Raw genomic sequence first — 9,973 nt, forward strand, 5'->3', positions numbered from 1 at the left:
ATAAGATTTTAAGCTCCACAGGGGCAGGGGCTGTGCCTGTTTTCTCTTATCATTGTGTGCCCAGCCCCCAGCACAGACACTGGCAAGCTGTAGATCCTCAATCAGTATTTGTTGAATGACTGGATAAATAAGTAGCGGAATAAATGAATGGATGAATGATCTGTGACAGTTTCTTTGCAGGGCAACGAATTCTCCATTCATTTTCAGATATGCGTCTAGCACCGAAGGTTGGGGAGGCCGGAACAGTAATGGTGCAGGCTCCAGCCCTCACAGAAGAGAGCTGGTCTTTCCCCATGTCATGCTTGTTCTGCCTTTACCTCAAAGTTAGGGCAGCATTTACTTTTTCAGATAAAGAAACAGGATTTCCAGGGTCTTTGAGTTTTGTTTTTACTTTTCATTATGAACATTTTCAGCATACAGGAAAAGTAAGGAGAACCGTATAATATCCTTTGGAGAGGATGTATTTTAAAATAAATTATCGGCTTGGTGAGGTGGCTTCCGCCTGTAATCCCAGCACTTTTGAGGCTGAGGTGGGTAGATTACTTGAGGTCAGAAGTTCGAGACCAGCTTGGCCAACATGGTGAAGTCCCATCTCTACAAAATTACAAAAAAATTAGCCGGGCTTGGTGGTGCACGCCTGTAATCCCAGCTACTTGGGAGGCTGAGACAGGAGAATTGCTTGCACCTGGGAGGCAGAGGCTGCAGTGAGCCAAGATCACGCCACCGCACTCCAGCCTGGGCAACAGAGCAGGACTCCAACTCAAAATAAATAAATAAATAAATAAAGTAAATTATCATTATCATGACAATTTACCCCCAAATACTTCAATTTGTACCTCTAAAAAATAAGCATACTTCCCTACTCCACTAAAATACTGTTATCACTCCTAACAAAATTAACTGCAATTTTCTTTTTTTTTCTTTTTTTTCTTTTTTTTTTGTGACAGAGTCTCACTCTGTCACCCAGGCTGAAGTGCAGTGGTGCGATCTCGTCTCACTGCAACCTCTGCCTCCTGGGTTCAAGCAATTCTCCTGTCTCAGCCTCCTGAGAAGCCAGGACTACAGGCACGTGCCACCACGTCCAGCTAATTTTTTTTATTTTTAGTAGAGACGGGGTTTCTACTAAACCGTTGTTCCAGGCTGGTCTGGAACTTCTGACCTCAGGTGACCCGCCTGCCTCAGCCTCCCAAAGTGCTGGGGTTACAGGCGTGAGCCACCGCGCCCAGTCAATTTTCTTAATATTATCTATCTTGGCTTGTTTGTGCTGCTATAACAAAATACCTGAGACTAGGTAATTTATGAAGAACAAACATTTATTTTCTCATAGCTCTGGAGGCTGGGAAGTCCAAGATCAAGGTGCCAGCAGGTTTGTGTCTGGTGAGGGCTGCTGTCTGCTTCCAAGTCCTCTGGAGTGGTGGAACGCTGCATCCTAACACAGCAGAAGGCTGAAGGGCAAAAGGGATAAACTCTCTCCATCAGACTCCTTTATAGGGGCACCTACTCCCATTCATGACTCAACCATCTCCTAAAGGCCACATCTCTTACTACTGTTGCATTGGGGATTATGTTTCAACATCAATTTTAGGGGAGACAAAAACATTCAAACCATAGTATCATCTAATACTCAGGCCCTATTCACATTTCCCCAGTGGTGTCTAAAATGTCTTCTCCAGTTGGTTTCCTGGATGCAGGATCCAATCAACATTCTCACCCAGAGCAGCGCATTTTAAAAACCATCTCAAATGTCTTAATTCAGACCATATGTTTCCCAATGTAGAACACAGAGAGAACCAGACGTCTCCCATTTACATTTCAGCAGCCTCAGTCCTTTTTCAAAACTGCCTTGTGCGGTGCGGTGAGCAGGTCCAGGAATGAACGGCCACAAAGCCTAGATATGCAGTGACGCACGGCTCTGCAGACCCTCCAGGCGCCCAAGGCAGCCACACAGAGCAGGCGACATGCAGCCACACTGCAGAGGAGCAGAGAGATGAGCCACAAAGAAAGTATTTTCTCCTTCTACATTTCCGTCCGGGAGACCTCACCACTATTCTAGATGGCGCTGCCCTCAAGCAGGGCCCAAGAGGCAACAGTGTGAGTCCAACCCTTGGAAAGCCATCCACTTGAGGGATAAAGTCCCTTCTCCATCCAGCTTTTAGTCTTCAGGCAGCTCTGCAGGCTCAGCCCTGCCCGGCCTTCTTGCTGGAGGCCTGGGGCCAGGCAGAGAGGGCTGCAGACACAGGCAGGTGCCACCATAATGTTCTGGTGTCGGGGTTGGAGCTGTTCATGACTAGCTGTGCCAGGAAAGTTTTTTGTTTTTTAACTTGATGGAAATGTTGTGGTTTTCACATTGTCTTGGGACAAACAGGAGCTTGGTTTACAGTCCCGAAGTATGTATCTGCTGAATTGTCCTTTAGTTGATTCTCTCGGGTTTCCAAGTTATGCCTTTTCCCCTTGGGCAGCCGAGGGAGCACAGCTTCTCCACTCAGCCCCTCTTTGGTTTGCTTGCCTCCACTGTCAGGAAATTCCACCTTAAGTACCCTAACCCTCTCCCTGTGATGATGGGGTTTGGACAGACTGATGGGCATAGGACTCTTCCCAGTCGCTCCCTGTGCTCCAGAAAAGCTGAAGGCAGACTGGAAACATATTAAATACCTGCAGGAGCCCCACTCACCAGGTGAGCACAGAGGCGGCCATTCACAAGGCCACGATTCCACTTCTGCCTTGGGCCGTGGTTACCATTAGGCACAGCCCCCCAGCACCTCCATGCCCTTCAGGACAGAGCACCAGGAAGCCTGTGGGAATCAAACAGGATGGGAAAGCCTCTCTGCCCCCTCCTCCCACCCCATTTAGATCCAGATACTTCCTCGTCACAGGGGGCCTGTCCTGTGCATTGCAGGATGTTTAGTAGCTCCTCAGACTGTACCCACTGGATGCCAGTGTATTTCCAGACATTGCCAAATGTCCCTGGGGGACAAAATCATCACCAGCTGAGTGCTCCTGTTCTGAGTCTTAAACAAAGGACCCATTTGTAAAGCCAGGAAAGTTCCAGGACCACTCACACCAGCTGAGTGGAGCAGTGTGGGGAGAACCTCAAGCCAGGCATTCTCAGTGTCTTGTTCTGAGGAAGGGAAATGCAGAGCAGCTGCCAGGCCAGGTCTGTCTTTAGCCCTCTGCTTCCCTCTATTCACATAGGGGAAGCTGTACCAGAGCCCTGGCTTATGATCTGAAGGAAACAATACTGTCACTGAGATAGGATTGATGGGGCATTTTCCTCCTGGAAGTGCTGATCCATGAATCATTTCCAAGCAAACCACCCATGGCATCCCCATTCCCTCTACTCTCTCCTCCTCCCTTCTTTCTTATATCCTACCACCCCCAGCTGACATCTAGCCTAGGCCTCTAACTCTGTCCACCCCTGGGCTTGACCCCACACTGGACAGCTTCTCTGGCCACAGCTAGAATAGCCATGAGTTGCACCTGCGGGCCCTCCCACCACACTTACTGCTCTGTCACCTCCTTCTCATTTCCCCAGAGGGGCTGCAGTGGGGTGAGAGCCCTGCATTAGAAAGCCAAAGGGCCTGGGTCTGAATCTGAACTTTACCAATCACCGGGCAGGAAATTCAAGTCATGCATGTAAACCCCTTAGCACAGTGCCCGGCACACAGAGCAGTTCTTACGTGTCAGAATGGGTTTCTCTCCCTCCTCCTTCCCTCTTCATCTATCTGGGATAGTGAGGCAGCCCCTTCCTTAAGGGGCACAGGAAGTACCCGCAGGATTGTGAACCTGGTTATGTCTGCAAATGCCACCCCAAGGCCACTTTCCTCCTCTCCCCAACCATTGCAGGATCCACAGCAGGCTGCATTAGGGGTTCCAGATGCAGCCAAGGACGGAGAGCCTACTCAGGAGGAGGAAGGAGTGAGAATAAAAGGACGTGGGTCTGAGGGGACCAGGGAAAAGACACAGAAGTCAAGAGAAGCGGTTCTTCTGATCAACCCGCTGGAGGAGAAGGGAGATGGTGCTGGTGGCCTTGAGAATCAAGGGCTGAGAACCCAGGCTTGGTAAGTGTGAGCACCTGAGGAGGAGAAGCCCCTGGAATAGGGGGAGGGGCCACAACACTCCAAGCCTCCCCCATGGACTCCATATCAGGGGTTAGACTGGATGACTCAAAATGGACCATTTTATACACTCTTCCCATCTTCTGTGGGTACAAGAATGGCCTTGGAGGAAGCCCTGTTGGGGCTTAGACCATATTCCCTATCCCTTCCAGCATGATGCTGGTGGGTAATACCCTGGGTATCAGAAATGGGGAGCAGTTGATTATTATTCTCACTGAGGTGAAAGTGCAGGATCTCCCAGAGGAGGTCAACATTCTCCAAAGATTAGCCCTCCTTTTGTGCCTTCTTCTTGCCTCTCCCAGTCCCTCCTGCCACCAAACCTGCTTTCCACCTCACTGAGAACATCCCGCCTTCTTGGTTCTCTGGCTTCTCCGGCCCCTCATGGCCTTATGCCTTCCTCGCTACCTGGGCCTCAACAAGCAGCCTAGACTCACTTGCCACCTCCCGCCCCACACCCTGGCTTCTATGACCACCCTGTCATCTCTGGCCTCACCCTCAGCTCCACCTGCCAAGTGCAACTTATTTAACCTCTCTGTATCTAGTTTCCTCAAATGTAAGGTGAGCACCCACGTCAGACAATTGTCAAGAGGCATTAGAATGATTGGCATATAGTAAATTATTAATTATTTTGGAGTATTGTTAAATGCTTGGTAGAGTGCCTAACGCCTAAGGGCTCAATGCATGGCAGCTGCTATTATTGTGTGAGTTCTCTCATTTGCCAAGAGCTAGAGCAGCCAGGTCTTTTGGAGCCAGCCTTCTGTGTGGACACGCAACCCATGGGGAAGACTCTCCTAAGATGACCCGAGAGAATTACAGACTTCTTGTGTTACAGCAAGTAATGCGTTTTCTGGTGTCTTCAACCCCTTCACCTGGCTGCCTCGACCATGGGTGCAGCCAAAATCTTAGAGAACCAAATTAAAAACAGAGTGAATTAAAGGAGGAATAATTACTTTCTACCCCAATTTTAAAAGTTCAACTTTATAGATAAAGATAAGGAGAGAAAAACCAATAGTCAAATAATCAATAATGCTTGCCCCTCTGTGTCTGTGTGTTTTCCAGGTGAGAACAATAATTTGTAATTATAGAAAGATTTGATCAAACATTTTCCTATTTGGTGAAAGATGGCAGCCCCAACATCATAACCTATGGGGAGGCAAAGTCTGAGGCCAAGCTGCATATGGCTGAGGCCTCACCTGGACCACTCTGGATTCCAGCATCCATGCCACCTGCCATGGTTCATGACATCCATTCCTTGGAACATTGGGGAGTAGATTCCAATTGACCAGTGTTAGGATCGGGCAACTGAGAGGCTCACAAGGGCCCTCTTTGATACGAGAACAGAAATGATGAGACATCCCAGGTCTCTCTGATGCTAGCTGTGTGAGCAAGTTTATAAACCAATCTGTGCTTTGGTTTTCCCAGCTATCAGAAGAGGTTATCTGGGAGTTACGGTGACATTTAACAGAGGCAAGCCATGTAAAAAATAAAGTGCCTAGAATGGTATAAGGGCACAGGGTAGGAGCTCAAAAACAATATTTATTATCAGTGTTACTAGTCTTATCATAAAAGAGCTGAATCGTAATGTGGCAGAGTAAATACACTTTGTGTGAGACAGGCACATATCTCAGAAAGACTCTATAATATTAGGTAACATCAGCGTGCTCTTTTCATCTCTATCCCCGCCAAAACTGTGTGAGGGTATCGGCTCTCTAAGATCTATATTTCTTGTACATGAGTAATATTAAAATCCAGAGGGAAGGTAACCAAGGGTCACTACGTTTTATTTTTATTTTTTAGATTTTTTTGAGATGGAGTTTAACTCTTGTTGCCCAGGCCCAAGTGCAATGGTGCAATCTCAGCTCACTGCAACCTCTGCCTCCTGGGTTCAAGCGATTCTCCTGCCTCAGCCTCCCGAGTAGCTGGGATTACAGGCACCCACCACTACGCCCGGCTAATTTTCTATTTCCAAGATGGGGTTTTACCATGTTGGCCAGGCTGGTCTCGAACTCCTGACCTCAAGTGATCTGCCTGCCTCCGCCTCCCAAAGTGTTGGGATTACAGGTGTGAGCCACCGTGCCTGGCTGGGTCTCTACATTTAATAAGAGTGTGTGTGTGTGTGTGTGTGTGTGTGTGTGTGTGTGTATACATATTTTCCCAAAAGTGGTAAGATTTGGAAAGTGTACCATTTGTGTAAGTTGAACTTTGCCAGGCCACACTGTCATGGGGAAACAGAAGGAATCCCATCCCTTTGCCTCCTACCCATCTGCTATTGCATGACCTTTAGTTCTTGGAAAGGGGGCCATGATTTTTGCTCAGTTCTCTCACAGTATCTTAGAGGTGAGTCCCTCAAGGTATAAAAATGGAGCTGTGTTCTCTAGAGCACACGGTGTGTTGAGACCAAGCTGTGCTCTGGGCAGGCATGGAAGAGGTGGCCTCTACTCTCTCTTGGGCTGCCCTTTGTATTAGAGGAAGGAAACTTCACTGTCTCATCTCCCAGGGGCTCAGAGATTTCATAAGACAGCTTTCCAGTGTGTGCTTGCAGCCTGCAACGAGTTCATGGAAGGTTGGGCCAGGAGACAGATCTGAAAGGCAAATCCCAGGTGAGCTCATGAGAATCAGCAAGAGAGATGGCCGGCCTGTCCCATTTCTGACTTGTTAGGTCTGAGGTGGGGCTGAGACTATGCCTTTCGGACCAACTGTCAGGTTATGCTGAGGCTGCTGATCAGGAGACTCCAGCATCTTTGGAGAACCCCTGGCCTAGGACTTTATTATTGCATCAAAGTGTCTGCCTAAGTTCTCTTTCTAGAGAAGACCTTGGGATCTGGGGCACATGTATGCAAGTCACCTTAATTACCCTCATTCTTGCAGATGCAGAGAGCTTGGTGAGGAGTCAGCAGCCAACTAAACTGGCTGCTTGAATCCTACAGCTGGTGACAGTGGAACTGGATATGGTGTGCATGTATGTGATTCTCAGAAACCAGCAAAGGAGACGGTGCATTCCAGGGAGACGCTGAGGGTGTCACCCAATAGGGATCTACAGCTGTTGATTTTCAGATGTGCTCCACAGACCCCCTGGGGGTTCCATGGACGCCACCAGGAGCAGTCGACTACTTTTGGGCCCAGGTTTGAGGGTCGTGAAACAGGGCAATTCCACTTTGACAACTTTTACACTGGAACATCCATGTTAGGTTTCTTCTGGAGAAAGCACTTTGGCTAAATCAGTCAGAATGGCCCGGAACTAGGTAGCCTCCATGTGTGCCTATTTCAGGAAAGAGCAGACATCACTCAGCTTTCCATATGGAAGGGGGTCGAGATGGCTTAAGCTGACACAGGGAAACGAGGAGGACAGGATCTTGTCTGTGCAGCCAGGCCTCCCGGGAACCTAGGGGAAGAAGAGTCACCAGGCGCCAGTGTTGGGAGTGCAGCATGGCCAAGTTGCTGGGAGGCGAAAGTGAAACGTGTTTAGGGTTAAAGGAGGCCAGAGGACTCAGCAGCAGAAGCTGAGCACACGGCTTCAGTCTAGTGACTTCACAACTCTCTCCACCTCCGCCTCCCCCGGGGGTGCTTCTCTTTTCTCCCCCTTTCTCTCTTCCAACTGGCTAATTATCACTAGACTTCCCCATTCAAATTCCTGGGAAACATGGCCAGGGCCTGTCATCAGCTTTCCTTGGTCTTTTTACTTGTGGCACAATCCTGTGGCTCAGAATGCAACCAATCCCGTGCCAGGAGAACCCTGGGGCTCCCAACCCCAGCAGAGGCTGTAGAGGTGCCACAGATTCCCTTGGAAGGGCAGCAGGTGATATAAGCAACTGGGATGTCCTGTCTGTGAGGCTTCCCAGGCATCGTGACTGACCTGCCTGAAGGCCTGGCTGGCATTGTGCTGGCCTACCTAGGACATTCAACTGTTTGCTTGCCAGGCTCTCAAGGCCTTCTTCCTCTTGATGCAGTTCCAACAATGTCCCTACCTACCACAGCCTATTTCACATGCAGATGCTGGTGCACACACCCCCTCAGCCGCTGGTTGGTAGGATCCATAAGTGATGGTGCGGGACTACATTATTATTTTATCTTATATAATCATGCACCCCATAATGACATTTTGGTCAACAATGAAGTATATACACAATGGTAGTCCCATGAGATCATAATGGAGCTAAAAAATCCCTATCATCTAGTGATGCCATAGCCATTATAACATCGCAGTCCAACACATTACCTTGTCTATGTTTGGATTCACAAATACTTGCCTTTGTGTTATAATTGCCTACAGTATTCAGTACAGTAACATGTTGTACAGGTTTGTGTCTAGGAGCAATGGGCCTATATAGCAATAGGACCATATAGCCTAGGGGTACAGCAGGCTATACCATCAAGGTTTGTCTAAGTACGTGCTATGATGTTTGTACAATGATGAAATTGCCTAAGGACGCATTTCTCGGAATGTATCCCCATTATTTAATTTTATTTAATTTAATTTAATTTTAGAGATGGAGTCTTGCTCTGTTGCCCAGGCTGGAGTGCAGTGGCGCGATCTCAGCTCACTGCAAGCTCCGCCTCCCGGGTTCGAGCCATTCTCCTGCCTCAGCCTCCTGAGTAGGTGGGACTACAGGTGCCCGCCACAATGCCCGGCTAATTTTTTGTATTTTTAGTAGAGACGGGGTTTCACTGTATTAGCCAGGATGGTCTCGATCTCCTGACCTCGTGATCCACCCGCCTCAGCCTCCCAAAGTGCTGGGATAACAGGTGTGAGCCACCGTGCCTGGCCGTATCCCCATTGTTAAGTGATGCATGACTATATGATTCTGATTACCAAAGTAATATATGTTGGATGTGCAAAAGTAAAACTGTATAGAAAAAAATTATGTAGAAAGAAAAAGTGCTCCCTAATTAAACCCATAGTCGATAAATTCAACAGGTTTGTGAATGTATCTTCAGAGTTTTTCTAGACATTTACTTACTTATTATTTTTCAGAGGTGGGGTCTCACTATGTTGCCCAGGCTAGAGTGCTGTGGCTATTCACAGGTGTGATCATAGGCACACAACCAGCCTCGAACTCCAGGCCTCAGGTGATCCTCCTACCGCAGTCTCCTGAGTAGCTGGGACTGTAGGCATGCACCACTGCACCCAGCTTCTAGGCATTTAACAATGTGTGCATATATTATAAATACATAATAAAAATGAATTCAAACAAAATATAGTTTGTAACTTGGCTTTTTACATTTCAATATATCTTTAAATTCTGTATCATTAAGTAGAGATCTTCCATCTTTCTAATGGCTATTAGTGATCCACTGTTCAAATGTATCATAGTTTAAGCAATTCTCCACTGAGAGAATTCTTCCATTTGGGAGCTATCATACAAAGCCTGGTTTGGATATATCTGTGTTGTGTACATGGTTTTGTAGGAGAGACTGCTAAAAAGATGGCTAGGTTAAAGCATATGACTATCTTACATTTTAACACATATTACTGAATTGGGCAGGGCCTCTTCCCAACGCTGCTTGTCAGAGTCAGAGAATACAGTTGCCCACAATGTCCAGCTCCTCTCTAGCTCCCTTGATATCATGTCCAGCTGTTAATCCTCACCCTGCTGCCACCTATGGATGAACTCGATGGACATCCATGTAGCCAATGCTACCACCGTATTATAAAATATAATGACAGTTGTGGGGGGTCTCCTTAGAAGGAGCTACACATATAGCAAGGAGCCAAATTAAGCTGTTCAGAACTGATGCCAAAACTCCTATCTTATATTTGCTTTGGAAATTGAGATTCCTTTTAATGGTTAAAGTTGCAGGTCTGAAAATATTTTGATCATTAAAAGTGAATCAGACTAAACTTTTCAGGGCACTGCATA

Source organism: Homo sapiens, chromosome 15 (assembly GCF_000001405.40).
Source record: "Homo sapiens chromosome 15, GRCh38.p14 Primary Assembly".
NCBI lineage: Eukaryota > Metazoa > Chordata > Mammalia > Primates > Hominidae > Homo > Homo sapiens.